The 16,187-nt window shown below is 43.7% G+C and overlaps 1 protein-coding gene across 31 annotated transcripts in view, besides 3 other annotated features; it reads right to left on the bottom strand.

Moving 5' to 3' along the window:
• Positions 1 to 16,187, bottom strand: part of SYNE2 (spectrin repeat containing nuclear envelope protein 2) — a 464,854-nt gene that overhangs the window by 20,966 nt on the left and 427,701 nt on the right. For 28 of the 31 annotated variants that reach the window (XM_047431152.1, XM_011536576.3, XM_047431149.1 and 25 more), the window contains 2 exons: positions 15,247 to 15,413; positions 2,521 to 2,683 (listed from right to left, as the gene is read on the bottom strand). In XM_047431152.1, the coding sequence (XP_047287108.1) occupies positions 2,521 to 2,683; positions 15,247 to 15,413 (330 nt within the window). Of the gene's footprint in view, positions 1 to 2,520; positions 2,684 to 8,379; positions 8,470 to 15,246; positions 15,414 to 16,187 lie in introns of those variants that run through there. The other 3 variants (XM_017021103.3, XM_017021104.3, XM_047431161.1) reach the window with 1 other exon arrangement.
• Positions 8,234 to 8,383: an enhancer, noted in NCBI's record as "active region_8522". NCBI's record gives its function as "activates an Ori minimal core promoter by ATAC-STARR-seq in GM12878 lymphoblastoid cells {active_cell/tissue: GM12878}" and the evidence as "EXISTENCE:reporter gene assay evidence [ECO:0000049][PMID:35858748]".
• Positions 8,234 to 8,956: a biological region, named in NCBI's record as "H3K27ac-H3K4me1 hESC enhancer GRCh37_chr14:64663246-64663842".
• Positions 8,360 to 8,956: an enhancer, noted in NCBI's record as "H3K27ac-H3K4me1 hESC enhancer chr14:64663246-64663842 (GRCh37/hg19 assembly coordinates)". NCBI's record gives its function as "activates a minimal SCP1, AML or CMV promoter by ChIP-STARR-seq in primed H9 embryonic stem cells {active_cell/tissue: H9 hESC(primed)}" and the evidence as "EXISTENCE:reporter gene assay evidence [ECO:0000049][PMID:30033119]".

Below are 16,187 nucleotides of genomic sequence, written 5' to 3'. Positions count from 1 at the left end.
TATATTTAGTTTGAAAAGTAAACATAGGTAAGGTGGTTGTTTTTTTAACCCAGACCAAAAATGGTCACTAGGTAAGGTTTTAAAAAGTGGCCCATACATAATTCTTTTGTGTGACACATTTGTTTCCAGTGTTTTGGATGGGGTACTTAAGGTCTGAGTTTAGCATAATATAAACACACTGTAACTTATTCTTTTTAACAAAAATACTGAAAGTATCCTGAGATCATCTGTGGTAGGCAGAATAATGACAATGACACCCCCCAACCCCCCAACAAAGACATCCAGATCCTAATCCTGGAATCTGTGAATATGTTAGATTACACGGCAAAGGAGAATTACGGTTGCTAATCAGCTGACCTTGAAATAGGGAGATTATCCTGGATTATCAGGGTGGGCCCACTGTAATCCTAAGGGTCCTTAACAGCAGAAGAGGAGTCAGCTAGAGGGAGATGTGACTAGGAAGACAGACACAGAGAGATGCAATGTTGACGGCGTTGAAGGCAGAAGAAGGCGCATGTGAGCCAAGCAATGTGGGTGGCCTCTAAAAACCAGGAAAAGCAAAAAAATGGATTCTCCCCAGAGCTTCCAGAAAGGAGCGTAATCCTGATGACACCCTGATCTTAGCCCAGTGAGATCCATTTCAGATCTCTAACCTCCAGATATATAGTAAATTTGCGTTTTTAAGCTGCTAAATCTGTAATTTGTTACAGCAGTAGTAGAAAACTAACACAGCATTTAACTTCTTTACAATAATGGTAGTCCTGAACACCAATTCCATTAATTTTTTTTTTTTAAGTAACCAAGGGATAGAAATGTCACTAAGGTGATGCTGAATTCTATAAAGACAGAATTTTCAAATCAACCAGATTGAAATTATGTGCCATTGTAGGATGGGAAGAAATAAGGCTAAGAGAATAGCAGTGGCTCCAAACTGTATGCTTTTGGGAACAAATTCTCTGCAATTTAATGTTCTGTCACACTTCGGATTTATAAAAAATTAACACACAATCAACAGCCCCTGCAAAATTTAGCCAGCCATTCTTTAAGGGGAAAGATACTGACAGCTTCCATATAATCTACCTGAAAAAACTCACCACTCAGGGTAAATTGTTATTTGCAAGGCCTTGCCTTTTCACAGTCTGTTCAAAGACATTCATCCTAGTGGATCACACTTGTAAGTAAAACTGATGTGTTCAGTAGCTGTGACTCCAATGAGAGACGCATTAAAATCTCTGTAATGTCCATTAAAATTCCATAATACTTATATCAATATTCTTTTCTGCACAAAGCAAAGACAGAGCCTAGATGACCTCCATGAAAAAGACATGCTTAAAGTTCCAAGGCTAAGTGGAAAAACCAGTATTTTTAATTTGTAGCATTACTAAATCATATCACTTTGAAAGCCAGATAACAGGTATCTTTTAAACAGTAATTGTAATAGCACTTAGAAAAGTCAAGAGCAGGGAGGGCCAGGCATGGTGGCGCCTGCCTGCAGTGCCATCTACTCAGGAGGCTGGGGTGGGAGGATCACTTGAGCCCAGAAGTTAAAGACCAGCCGGGGCAATATAGTGAGACTCCATCTCTTAAAAAAATGTCAACAGTAGTATCAAATATTAAATCTGGTGAAAAAGGTTCACCCCCAATCCGGTCTCCAAGCACCTGTGGTATGTGGTGTGTGGTGGAGGCTTAACATGAAGAAAACAGATTCAAGTCTGAGAATCATACTGCTTCTATGGTTGAAACAGAATCTGCCCATAGGTCTGAGAAAAACAGGTGAACAAAAGCTAAAGAAAGAATAAGATAAACTTAGCTATTTAAAAAAAAAGTAAAGACATATCCAGGCATTACAAGTGAGAATGAGCATGTGGCCATGAGACCAGGGAAGGCAGGAAAGTGGATTCGATAAACCAGTGACATCAAAGAGCACCTGTCAGGTGGGTACAATGAGAAACACTGGCAGAACTCAGCAGCTTTCAAACTGCCCAATTTCCAGGGTTGGCTCAGAGCATGCATATCTGATAACAAAAATGCACAGAGCATTGCAGCTCTTAAGAGGCTTCCTAAACTATTGGTCCAAGCATGTTCCTTATCACACCTTTTCTTGTTTTAATTTTTTAAAAAAGCTGTACCAGACACACAGAATATAATCCCATAAAAACCTTCCTTGGTTAGAAAAGTTGCTTTTCTTTCAATTCATTGCCTTTCAAAACTATATTAACAAAACACAACAAAGATCAGTTAAAAAAAGACATAATTAAAAAAATCTCATTAACCACCAAGATTAAGGTTTGCATCTTAAACAGTATTCACACAGTTTCACAAAAAGCTACATGAATGTGGGAGGGAGCACTCAAGAGACAGATATAAGAACATGGAAAGGTGGTCAGTTTTCTCTGGAAAAAGCAAACCAATGTTATGGAATGTGAGCACGTGAAAACACATAGATATACGGGGAAGGCCTCAGTCAGTGCATATCGCGGACACCGTACTCTTGCAAGAGCTCATTTCTGATTGTCCCACCTGCTGCTCAGCGAGCCTCTTCTGGATCTCTTGATCATCGCAGACATCATAAACAACAGGCTTGGAAAGCTCAGACTCAATTCGAGCCAACCAGGTGCGAAGGTTGCTCATGTTTTTGTCCAACTGCTGAATAAAAGCAAAGGTCTCCTTCAGCTTCTTCACCCTACACATATTTGCAGAAAAACAAAACGAAACAAAAAAAAACCAGTGATGGAAAACAAAAGCCCAATACTTAGTGGTGGAAGAATGTGCCAGTAAGAGCATTGCAGGGTAAAAAAGAATCTATTTTGCTTTGATTTTATATCAGAACAACTCTCATGTCACCAGATACGAGTTCTCAGAGAATATGTGAAGCTTTGCAAGGCTGTTGCCTCTGTTGATTTTCAAAAGGACTGAGAGTTAATCCACCCATGCAAATGGAAGTCCTATCATTCCCAGAGTGAGAGCCCCTGAGACCCAGTTCATCTTCCTGGGGCTCCAGAGGTGAGAAGATATGCCATTTTTTCCTAAGTGAAAATAACCACTCCTGACTTCTGCCCAGTTTCTGCCGTGGGTATGCCTGAGACTGCAGCAGCCGGTGATCTACCCTGGGAGATTAAAGATGTTACACGCCTGGTTCACTTGGTGGTATTTGGTCCACAAGGCCTCTCATGGGACCCTCCTCTCTGAGTAAGCAGAGAACATGTGCCAAGCCCTACCGCTTCAGTATGAGGGGTTCACCCAGCCGTATACATTGAACCAGCCCATGCGGGTAGATTATGGGGCATCTCTGTCCGTCTAAAAGGGAGGGGGCAAAGGAAATCTGCACGCAAGCGCAGTTCTAAATGTGATCTCCCTCGCCAGTCTGCCTCAGCTCCCATCCGGCCCAACTCGGCGTGGAGCAGATTTGAAAGCACACGCATGGCATGAGTACAACTTGGCGTGCACGTCCACATGCTGTCAAGGGGACGTGATGTAGCTGTTGGGGGAAAACAATCTTTTTCTGACATATATACTAAAATAAAATGCTCCAATAAACCGCTTTCCTTAAAGTCCTAAAGCAGAGCGAGGTGAGCCAGGATCTGTCCTGGCGTTCTGTGGGATTTGTAGTTAATTTCAGACATTTAAAAGTAATGGCTCCAATGGAAAGTTCCCACTTATCAATACTTACGTTGGGAGATGCTGTCAGAACTGCACCCCATAGCTGGGAGCACTAGAGAGATAAATGGGTGCACTGACCCTAACTCTCAGGAAGCATTGTGCTCCATGCCACCATCACCTCTTACTTGACCGAACAACCTCCTCTCAGCCCCCTAGACTTCCTGCCCACCTTTGGTTCTGTAGCCAAAGTGTAAGTAAGTTCTAGAAGGCAAGTCTGATCCACGCTCAAAGCCTTCAATAGTCCCTGCCCTACCCTGAAAAACCGGTTCAGCCCCTTGATCTCTGTACCTCAAGCATTCAGGGGCCACTCTGCCTCTAACCTTGCACTCTCTCAGACACTGTGCACCCACCAGGACAGGGAGTGCCATGGCCAGGCTGCAGCCGGCCAGTTTCCGCCGCACTCACAGCACCTCCCACAGGGCCTGGTGGGCAGGAAGCTCTCCACAAATGCTTGGTGAATGGACAAATACGGACAGGCACTTCCATGGGACTGACTTCTAGTTCCATTACCAGCTACTTTTAAGATTTAGTGAAAGTCCTTTCACCTCAGCCCCCTTATTTCAAGTACACCCGCAAAGCTGCTTAAGCTTCAGGGAAGTGGTAGCATCGGGTGAGGTGAGGGCCGGAACTCCAGAGGCAAGCAGACCTGGGCCCAAGTTCCATTCTCCCATCTAAGAGCTCTGCACCCTGCAATGTACCTAACCGCTGACTCTGAGTTTCTTCATGATCTGTAAAATTATCCACCTTGCAGGTGGCGGTGAGCTTGAAATAAGAGGCTGCATGTAAAGTCAGCTGCACAGAGTGAATGCTGGACCACATGATGCTACAATCACGCTTTATTTACAAGGCATTGGACCTCACAAAGTTCTTTCATCAGTGTTTTATTCTCAAGGGCAAGCTTGGAAGAAGGACATGTGGTCTGGAGGTGGAAGAACACAGACTCTGTGGTCAGGGCCTGGGTTTGCGTCCTGGCCATGTTTAATGCCATCTATAAAATGGTGTTAACAGTAGTACCTTCCTTCACTGGGTAGCTGAGGGGACTGAATGAGATATAACATGTGAAAGGCAGAATGCCTCGGAGATAAATGCCCAGCAACTTACAGTTGTGATAAGTTTCAAGGAGCCATGTTTTCCAAATTACATTCTTACTGCAAACACCACAAGGATACGTTCCCTTCAAAGCCACAGATGATTTATTAAAAAGAAAGTAACAGAATCCAGGACCAGGCCTGGATACAGCTGTAACCTAGATCCTGCCTTCATTCCTATGGCTTCAGAGGTACACCCTCCTCACCCCAGTATCTTGCCACCTTGATTGCCCTGGTTCCAAAAAGAACACTCCAGACAACTACCAGGGTAGCTGAGAACCCCTGGCACTGTGGGACAAGGAGTCCTCCAGGCAGTTCCTGAGGGACTGCCCTCCTGGAAGGCTCTGCTGGAGAAGAGGCCCAGCCACGAGAGCTTCCCGGGGGTGGGGGAAGGGCTCAGGCTCGTGACCTCTGCACAGCTCTCCTGCCCTCCCCACTTCTCCCTCTTCCCAGAATGAAATCTCCCACGGCCTTCATCTAGCCCCTGACCCTATTCCACCCTAAGAATCTCAGCCTCTTTCTTATTTTGAAAAGAAGAGGGCTAGAATCCAAGTATTTATTTATATATATTTTTCTTTTTCCTTGTTTCCTCTCTTCTAACTTAAAGCAATTAACACACCGGAAGAATTCAACTGGTTAAATGAAAGGAGCTAACTAGCAACACAACAGCCTGGGTACAGATCCACAGGACTGTGGTGATCTTGAACTGTTAACCCTGGGGGTTAGGTGTGCAACACGCAGAGGGGGTATGGAGAAGGTGGGGGAATAATTTGCTTGGTTTCCCCAGGGCTGTGGTATCCAAAATGGGGTGCTCAGAACAAACCAATGGGGTGTAGGAATAAAATATGAGACTGTCTACTGTCATCCCATTCTTTTAAAATTTCTACAATGTGTATGCTTTAAAATTATAAACTTAATTATTAAAATAAAACATCTATATCCCACGCTGATGGCCACATGTGCTAGGCCTGTTGTGCTCCATGTTAGCAACTCATGTACTTTTTTTTTTTTTTTTTTTTTTTGAGACAGAGTCTCTATCGCCTACGCTGGAGTGCAGTGCTGCGACATGGGCTCGCTGCAACCTCCGCCTCCCAGGTTCAAGTGATTCTCCTGCCTCAGACTCCTGAGTAGCTGGGATTACAGGCACCTGCCACCATGCTCAGCTAATTTTTGTATTTTTACTAGAGACAGGGTTTCCCCATGTTGGCCAGGCTGGTCTCGAACTCCTGACCTCAAGTGATCCACCTGCCTCAACCTCCCAAAGCGCTAGGATTACAGGCATCATTTCCTCTTCATAACAATGCTAGGAGATAGGTAGTATTATTATCCCTACTTGACAGATGAGGAAACCGAGGCACAGAGAGTAAAGAGCTTGCCCAAGTCACATGGTCAATAGCGGAAGCAGGATTCTAACCTGGGTAGTCTGGTCTGGAGCTGCTGTTCTTAAGCACTACCCATCCTCTCACATAATCCCACACACACTAACATGCACATACTGGAGATACAGGATCATTTTGCTGCAGTCAGAGAACATGACCAGAAGTCTGGACTCATAGCTCAGGATACACTGAGGGGTAGGAGCTGATATAGTAGATGCTACAACCTGGGCTCTTAGCAGGTGCCTGGGGAGGAGGCTGGAAGGCTCAATACATGCTGCCCACGTTTCCCCTCCATGATTTTCTTTCAGTAAACACTTAACCATTTGCCTTGTCTTGGATCCTGCACAGACCCTGAGGATTCAGAGATAGCTGGAAGATAGGACTTCTTCCCAGAGAGGTCATCACCTAATTTAGATGTAATGTTGACACTGTAATACAACATAGGAGTTGCTCAATAATAGCTGTTGAAGGAGTAAATGATGTTCACTCATACCTTCCAATTTGTCTGATTTGTCTTCTTCATAAAGAGGTGGCCAAATTAGATTTTTAAAGAAAAGAGGTAAAGACCAGAGCATATCAGAGCCCTTCTGCCACAAAGCAGTGTGCTGCCAGCCTAGGAGCCACTCGTGCTCCTCAGCCCTGGTTTCACACAGGGCCAATGAAGCAGTGACGGACATTCACATCACAGGCATACTTAGTGCAAGTTAAAGAGGGGGGGAAGGTGGGAGGGAAGGAAAAGAAGGTCACCAAGTGACAAAGCACTCATCCAGCCAGGATTTAGCCGGTATATCCCAAACTCCATCCAGAGGCCTAATACCTCCAAATGCCTGGGAATCTAAATGTTGTTCCTCTGATCATCAGGTAACAACTTACCCTGGGACTCATCAGGTGCACTGCTGAGCGTGTATCGTTCTGTTCTGTACAGACACTGTAATCTAATTATCACCTGTCCCAGGTCAGGAAGTATTTGTCTTTTGCCAACCCAGGCAACTGACCTCCACATTGTTGGGCCTTGTTAACACTACTCTTGAAAAATTTAAAATCTCAAGTTAATATCTGGAAATGAGAAAACCTATTCAGAAACCAGACTGCTGGCACACAGAAGCAACCACAACACTGCCTGACATCAACCACCTGAGCGCTTTGCTGCCGTGGCCACCATCTCTGCACTTGCCCAGGTTTTGACCCAGGTGCTCTTAACATTTCTCACATAGACATTTCAACAAATAACCTTTCTCCAGGAAAAAGCAGCATGATTTCCTGAATTAAATTCCAGTTATGAGAATCAGAAAAACAAAATTTTTAGGTACAAAAGCGAAGTCTTCCACCTGCATAGGCTCTTTATTGGGAGACCTGAACAAAAGCAAAATGTTTTCTATGAAACCAAACAAAAGAATTATGCCTAAGAGCCGCTTTAAATTAGAAGAGTTCTTTTGCAGTGATTATGGGTAAAAATGCAGAAAACAATCAAGGCAAATAAAGTTTTTCTTTTAACTAGCAATGGATGAGAATATAACATTGATGAACACTGCTCTCCTTCCAAACAAACAAAATCAAGTCAGGTTAGCAACATTCTATATACCAAGCCTAAGCCTTAACAATGTATGATGAAGGCTTTACATGTCAAATTTATACATATGGAATAATTTACCATTTAGTCCTATCCTCTGTGCTCAGGAGTCTACAGTTAAATTATAAAAGCCCTAAATCAGTCTAAGTGAACAAAAAAATTCCTATGCCTAATTTAAAAAATACTAAGGAAAACTGAGATGGTTCAAGTATCTGAATTTGTACTGAAATAAACAAATAGTCAAACCTGCGGGCAGCTGTCAGTTGCAAAAAACACTGTACAAATCCTGTACAATTGTATCTTTTCACATGACTAAACATCCTTATGGCAAAATAATGCATTACTCCAAGATCCTGAAGCCCTGATTTAGGGGCAGAGGCATTACAATACACGTCTGAGCTCATTGCCTCTTTAAAGCATTTTTGTCACCAGAGGACTTCCATTTTCCACACGGCATAATCACTCCTCTGCCCTGCTTGTCAGAGGCAGACTGCAGACACCACACGCATGCTGACGCTGGGAAAGAACCCATCCCCCGATGGCTGAGCACAAACACTCCGCAGCCACCATCTCATCGGTGATTTCTATTGTAACCAAAGCGACACAGCCAGAGAGCAAGACACAAGGGACAGCAGCTGGCGCCTCGGCCCAATGCAGAGCTGATGACGAAAATGGCACTTACTGTTGATGAGAAAAAATCATTCCTTATGTTTAAGCGAAAGCTCCAAGTTCCCGGCTGCACCTCCACCTCCCAGGGCCGAGGCAGCCCCTCCCCCTGCCCAGCGTGCCCTCTTCACTGGTTCAGCATCTTGCACAGAGGCGGACGCAGCCCTCTCCAAGGCTCCTTGTGAGCACGGCTGGCTGGCTCGCAGGCACAGGGCAATGCCAGCGGGAAGGAAGACACCTTCTCCCCTGCTAACTGCAATTTTTAATCTCAGTTTTCTTCCTTCCAGTAAACAAATATCTCCAGCTTTTTCCTCACACACACAGTCTTTGTTCTGACGCTACAGGATTGCAACGCTGGGGGAAGAAAGTCACACTGTTATCTTGGCTATGGGTTATTTATGAAGTGCTATAAACAGAGAGAAGAAACATTTAGATTTGGGGCATGCAAAAGAGGATTTCTGTCCTCCTCAAATTAAATTTCTCTGTTTCAGGTTTAAAAGAAACAGCAAAATCTGAAGCCCCTGAGTCCAATAGGAATGCCTTCCTCTTGTCCTCTTAAAGAAGAAATATCCCTGTGGGGGTTTTCTGCTCTGCCCTTTTGGTCCTGAACATCCTGGTTTAGGAGGGTCATTTAGTTTATCTGCTTTGTGCAAAAAAATTCTATTTTGCAGTATAAAGGGAATTTATTGCAGAGGAAGAAATTCTGTAATTTTCCTTGCTAGCTCCTCCCAGGGTTTACCATAATGTGTCTGAAAATTCCTCCTTATTTATAGCCTCAGTTTCTTCGGACAATCCTGAGTGGCAGTGCTTGGTTTGTGTCTAGTCTACCTTAGACTCATTCCCAGCCTTATTCTGAGACTTGATATCATTTTTCAGGAGTCCCTAAAGACCAACATTTAGTCATTATTATATCCCCACCTTGAAACGTAGCAAACACGTGCTATACCAGTGGAATCAGAAGTGCAGATCTGGCAATAGTTCTCCCAAAATGCTGCATCTAACTCAGGCCCACGTGGTTGGCTGTTCCTGCAACCTGCTGAACGTGAACCTCTGAGGCTCAGTACACTGGACCTGCCTGATGCTGGCCATCAGGCCGCTTGCTCATTATCCTCTTTCCTTTGGGGAGCTCCCCAACCCTCAGGAAGGCATTTCTGCAGGGTCTGGGAACAGCGGCCACCCATTCTAGAGGCAGAAGGATCAGGCTGATGGGAAGGAAAATGGAAGTGAGGAGCCTCACATCTGGCTCTCCCTGTGCTAAAATAATCCCTAAATCCTTCCAGTCCCACTGGATCAGGCAACCTGCTAAGACCAACGCAAGTCAACTTCGTGACTAGCAGCATTGTTTGGTGTTCCAGAAAACCTTGAGAAAATACAGATAAAAGGAGAGCAATGAAAAGCTTTATCAGTTTAAAAAGGCACACGTATTCCTGCCCATTCTGCAAGGCATGGAAAACAATCTTAACACACAACTGCCACGGTCGTAACTTCTGAGTTTAACGGTAACATTTTAATTGCCACTACTATAAAGTAGGTGAGCTTTTCAGGTTGGTAGGCAAAATTTAGAAGTTATGCTTGGTTTAAAAAGTTCCTTTTATGGATTTGATATTTCTGATAGTGAGAGCAATTCAGTGTAAACAGGAAGGAGCTAATCTTCAAGGTCATACGGTACTAGGAAAGTCCCTCCTTGTCAGTGGCTTAATAAGGACGACAGGCCTTGCTAGTGGTGCTACCATCAGAGAGAAATTCAGGAGAGAACATAAAATTGATGACATTTGTTCATGACATGTTATAACATGACATCTTCCATAATGAACATTTAGAAAGTACAGATAAGCAAAAAGAAAATTACAATCATTTTCATTAAAATGATTCCAACCAAGAGAAAAACCAATGTAAACTTTCTGGGAGGGTATGCTTTTCCACTTCGCTGTCCAACCTGTATCAGATACTGAACGCTTTCATCAGATTATTCACACATGCTGCTAGAAAGAGTCTTTAAAGAGTTCCTCACCCTGATCCCAAGTCTCTAAAAGAATTCATCAAGATGTGCAACCTGCCAGAGGGACTCACTGAAGACACAGCCCCACCTGTGTCTACAGAGCTCTGGTTCATAGGACAAGCAGAGTTCTCTCATTAAGGAAATGGGGAGGGAGTTCTGGGAAACAAAAGTAGATGAATTTTTAAGGAGTTCAACTACTGGGTTTTTAAAAATAAGGGGAGGCATAGGTGAGATCAGGTGGCAGGTCAACTCCTTCTCTGGCATCAGTCCTATTGAGGGGATGAGATCCAAGGACCGTCTTTTCAGAGCTTTGGCCCGTGCTGGCTGTGAACGTTAACCTTGCATCTTTCTGTCTATCACCCAACAATTTGTATCTCAACTGTTCTTAGGTAATCCAGATTCCTCCAAAACAGAGGAACACACATATTGGCAGTTCTGAAGGACACCTTCTGTAATTTAGTTGTCTGTCTTGCATTCAGAAGTTTTGCTGAGTCACTTTTCAAAGACGTTATCAAAGGCTGGGTGCAGGTGGCTCATGCCTGTAATTCCAGCACTTTGGGAGGCAGAGGTGGGAGGATAACTTGAGCCCAGGAGCTCAAGACCAGCTTGGGCAATATGGTGAAACCCCATCTCTACAAAAAACAAACAACAAAAGCAAACAACTATCCGGGCATGGTGGTGTGTGCTTGTAGTCCCAGCTACCTGGGAGGCTGAGGTAGGAGAATTGTTTGAGCCTGAAAGGTAGAGGCTGCAGTGAGCTGTGACTGTGCCACTGTATTCCAGCCTGGGCCATACAGCCAGACCTTGTCTCAAAAAAAAAAAGAAGAAAAGAGGAGGGAGAGGGGCTAATAGACACAGATAAAAAAAGTTTAACTCTTCCTTTAATTTGACAAATGAACGTAGTAGCATATAATATTTCTTGTCATCAAATCAACTTGGGTTCTACATAGTTACAATCACCAAACATATATATAGTGCTTTAAATGACCTGTGTTGATGAAATTACCTGCATGTTTCATAAGAGTGTAGATGTCACCACTGTAAGAAGCTGCCTGAGGGCCCATGAGGACTTTTAAAAGCTCCCAGAGCAACAAGGAGGGACAGCCAATCACAGGCCTCTTTATACCCACACCAGGGCCCAAGTAATCTTATGTGCACATTCCTGTCCCGGGCAGAATTCCCATTGTCCTTGGCTAAATTATTTACCTTCTCTGAGCTGCAGTTTCCCTCTCCGTAAAATGAAGAATCACACTGACTTTGCAGTGTTGTTTTAAGAATTCAAATGAAATAATCTATGTGAGGAGCCTGGCACTTAAAAAATAAGCAATGTTGGTTTCCTCTCCTATCTATCCAACAATGGAGGCTACCACCTGAAATGATCAGAAATCTAATGTGGTTTTTAAGGAAGCCTATCCTAAATCCCATTTTTTCCTCCAGTGAATTAAAACTGATTTATTGAGGCCTTGGACTTCTGAAAACCATTCTTAACCTTGAAGTTAGTTTTATAGTTAAGATCTTGCAGTAACAAGGCCGGGTACCTATGTAGGATCACCTTCCAATCTTTTTTTTTTTTGAGACGGAGTTCGCTCTGTCACCCAGGTTGGAGAGCAGTGGTGTGATCAAGGCTCATTGCAACCTCCACCTCCCAGGTTCAAGTCATTCTCCTGCCTCAGCCTCCTGAGTAGCTGGGACTACAGGTGCGCACCACCACGCCCAGGTAGTTTTTGTATTTTTGGTAGAGATGGGGTTTCGCCATGTAAGCCAGGCTGGTCTCAAACTCCCGACTGCAGGTGATCCACTGGCTTCAGCCTCCCAAAGTGCTGGGATTACAGGCATGAGCCGCTATGCCTGGCCGATCTTATTTTTAACAAGAGCTGCTGTTCCCTGCCCACAGGGCCAAAGCAGAATACTGTGGGAAGGATGGAAGAGGCTACATGGTGTCCTGGATCCTGTGGGCAAATGAAGCCATCAGGGCATCCCGCAGAGCAGGTTCTTGTCGCCACTGTTCAAATGTAAAGTTTGCAGCCTGTGCTTCCAACCCTTCCCTTCCTTTGTACAAGGCCCAGGGTGAAGTCAGCATCAGGGATTCTATGTAAGGCTGATTCTATGTAAGGCTGATTATGACAGGTCCAAGTTTGCTGCCTCAACCCACAGATTCACCTGAACAATAAACTCAGCTAAGAGCTTCTTAGATTCTAGCTGTCTGTCTCAGCCTGGCCCTTGCTTTAAAATAAGAAAAATGATTCCCTCCCAAATTCCTTAGTGCTGAAGGGATTAGCACTCAGCACGTACTGCTCATTTCAGTGTTTCAAATGAGAGGGTCTGGGCTGTCAGGGAAGTGACACTGCCTAAGTTGAAATCCTGGTTACGTCACATGCTGGCTATGTAACTGTGGGTAAGCTGCTTAGCTTCAGTCCTCAGTTTCCTTCTTGGTATGTAAAATGGGACAATGGTATCTACTTTACAGAATCACAGTGAAGTTTAAGTGAAATCACACATAAAAGGCATATTGTTAAGAATATAGGCAGCTGGCAATATATTTGCTATTATTTCAACTCCTTTTCCCCCAGCTGTTCTTTCCAAAAAGATCAATAAAATTTTACCCACTGTTTTATCTCTTTCCCACCAAAAGGTTGGCTGAAGACAGGCAAAGAGTGAGCGAGGAAAGCAAATAGCCTGTTAAACTCCAAAGTGATACAAGCAGAGCATGAACGATTAAAAATGGACTGTCATTCTAACCTTCAGGAAACATTAGCTAGATCTTGATCCTGTATGATCCATGAATGGGTTTGATGCCATCATACCCTCGACTAGTGCCAAGGGCCCGAGAAGACTTAGGCTATAAAGGCGACCACAAAGACACAATTTATCCCACAGAAATTATCTTATTCTTAACGAATGCACTGAAACATTTACTCATTTCAACAAACATCTGACGCGCTATTCTAAGCTCTGAGAATTAGGTAGTCCAGTTGCAGGCCTCACTAGGGAAAGACCTCTCATCACTAGACATAACCAACAGAATCATCTTCCACTCAATAAACACACGACCTAAGAGTCTTCTCATGGAAAAGTAATGAAAACAACCACTCCATAAATGCTGGCTCATATGTGCTGGCCCCATACCAAAGGCATGACACATATCCTCACAGCAGACAGCACCAGCGGCCTCTGATGTAAGCCAATTAGACCCATTTTACAGATTTAGCAACTGAGGCCTAGAAAGGTTAAATCACATACTCAAGTTTCCACAGTGAATAAGTGGGAAAGTCAAGAATGGTTCAAAACTTGTGCTCTTAATCCTTACTTAGGTTTCCATCATGCATTTCTGTAGGTTTGTTTTTTTTCCCCCAACTGGCTGTGGAGAGAAGTTGAATTTGGGCCAGTCTATGTTGCCAGCCAAATCCCCCTAATATTTGTCTTCAGCAAACCCTCCACTGCTAAGGAACCAGGCATGACTCAGATATTTTTTCAGAAGGCCAAGTATTTAGCAGAGATTTAAAGTCTTCTAAGATTTAGCCCCAGCCCATCTTTCTAGCTCATCTCCTATGCTTGGGGCCAGTGGGGCTTCTCATCACTTCCTGAACGGCTTCGATGCTGCTCTATTCTGTACCTGTTTGCTCTCAATGTATGTGTCTCTCTCTCTGCCACCAGTAACCGCAATCCCTCATTCAGGACCATCTGGGAACGCAGCCCCTCTGTAAGGCTCTTCCTAATCCCAGGAAGATGGGATCTGAGCTCTCAAACCACTTGGTTTTACAGATGCTCAGATACCTACTCCCACTAATGTAACTGACTCAACTTACTTCCTGCCTGTAATTCTCATAGCATTTAGCTCAGTGCCTCTGTTGATTGACTCAGGTTCACTTGTGGTTTCCAGTAAACAATGAGGTAAAGAAGATGCCAAACTTAATAATTTAAATTATTAAATTTAAATAATAATTTAAATAATAAATTTAATTTAAATAATAAATTTAAATAATAAGATAAAAGTATCTTACTTTTATCACCTCCCAATTCTTTATTCACCTTATAGGTTCTCCTGTATATTCCAAATTCTATGTGTTGTTCAAAACATCTGAGCACACTGCTATGGAAAGGACCCGTGTGGCCAGTGGAAGCACAGCTGCACAAGTGGTCCCAAGGCCAAGTGACGGTTCGCTGTATGCCACGTGGCCACTGAAAAAACATCCACCTGGAGTTTGTCTTTAGAGAGGGAATTTGAAGACATTTAAAAATTTTGGGCATCATCATCATTTTGGGAGGAGAGATAAAATTATCAGCGCTATTTCTGATAAGATTGCACTGGCCAATATAGCTTTGATTTGTGGTCCTTTGATTTAGGACTGGGCTGCGCCCAAATCCACATCCTAGGACAAGACACCCATGGGAGACCTGGCACTCTGAGCCCACACACTTTAAGAGTAGACTCCTGCCCCTGCCTTGAGTGCAAGTAGTGGGGCAGTCATGGGCCCCCAGCATCCAGAAGCCAGGCCTGTGCCCTTACCTGATCTGCCATACTGAGGCAGGAGCAACGGGCATGGCTCCACTGTGGGGACACACAAATGCTAACACAGAGGCAGAATTTCTAAACAATACCCCCTCCCAAGGATCCCTTTCCAAATCAGTTTCCAACTCTTCATTAAAACTACTCTAATTCATGTAAAGTTGTAAGCTAAAGAAAAAATATTAAGGTGGGATATACTAGCATATAATTCTTTTTGTAACACTGAAAGAATTTCCACTCATTTTTATCAAACTTTGCCTTAATCTGTAAACTTATAAAATTGCTGGATCATCTTAGAGGAAGACTGGGTTCAGTTTACTAGATCTGTAAAGTAATTACTGTTCCTGGAGAGTAATCATTTTTAGCCCATTTCTTACCTTGATCCGATGACATCAAAAAGATGTTGCCAACGATCGTTAATTTTGTTGAGCTTGTCATCGATCTCAGCTGCTCTTGATTTGTTGCTGGCCTTGATCAACTGGTCACCCATCTGCTTTAACTGTAACTTGTTTTCACTAAACAAGTTTATTTCTTCCATGCAGTCCTGGCAAAGGCACCAAAACATAAAGCCTGGCTAATTAGCCCAAACTCATTTCTTCTCCAGCCACAGACATAGAGTTACCTCTTGAAATTAAAAAAAAAAAAAAAAATTGGCCAGGCATAGTGGCTCATACCAATAATCCCAGCAGTTTGGGAAGCCGAGGCAAGAGGATCACTCTAGTCCAGGAGTTCAAGACTAGCCTGTGCAACACAGCAAGACCCCACTTCTAAAAACACTAGCAAGGTATGCTGGCACATGTCTGTAGTCCCAGCTACTCAGGTGGCTGAGGTGGGAGGACCCCTTGAGCCAAGAAGGTTGAGGCTGCAGTGAGCTATGATCTCGCCACTGCACTCCAGCACAGTGAGACACTGTCTCAAAACCTCATACCTTCTAATGAAGCTAACTTTTCAGTGAGCAGCTAAAAAGTCAGGCAACGCGCATCAGGCAAAAGCAAAATATGTAAGGCAATAATTATTTTTAATAGTTATTTAATTCAAAAGCCCTCTGTTTCCTCTCACAGATTTCTTCTAACCTACGTGGGAGCTGAGGACAACTGAGCATAACTAATTAGGCTGCTATCAGTTACAGTTTTCCAGAGGTTTGACTGGGTGGTGTTTTAGGTGACTACAGCAAGAATGTTATTACTTTTCCCTGTGGAGACCACTGATCATTTCAAAATTATGAGCCTCACTGCTGTTGGCCTCTCCCCTTTAACAAGGGGAGCTTCTTTTTTTTTTTTGAGATGGAATTTTTGCTCTGTTGCCCAGGCTGGTGTGC

Source organism: Homo sapiens, chromosome 14, assembly GCF_000001405.40.
Source record: "Homo sapiens chromosome 14, GRCh38.p14 Primary Assembly".
Classification (NCBI taxonomy): Eukaryota; Metazoa; Chordata; class Mammalia; order Primates; family Hominidae; genus Homo; species Homo sapiens.
This window is presented reverse-complemented; position numbering and strand designations above follow the sequence as displayed.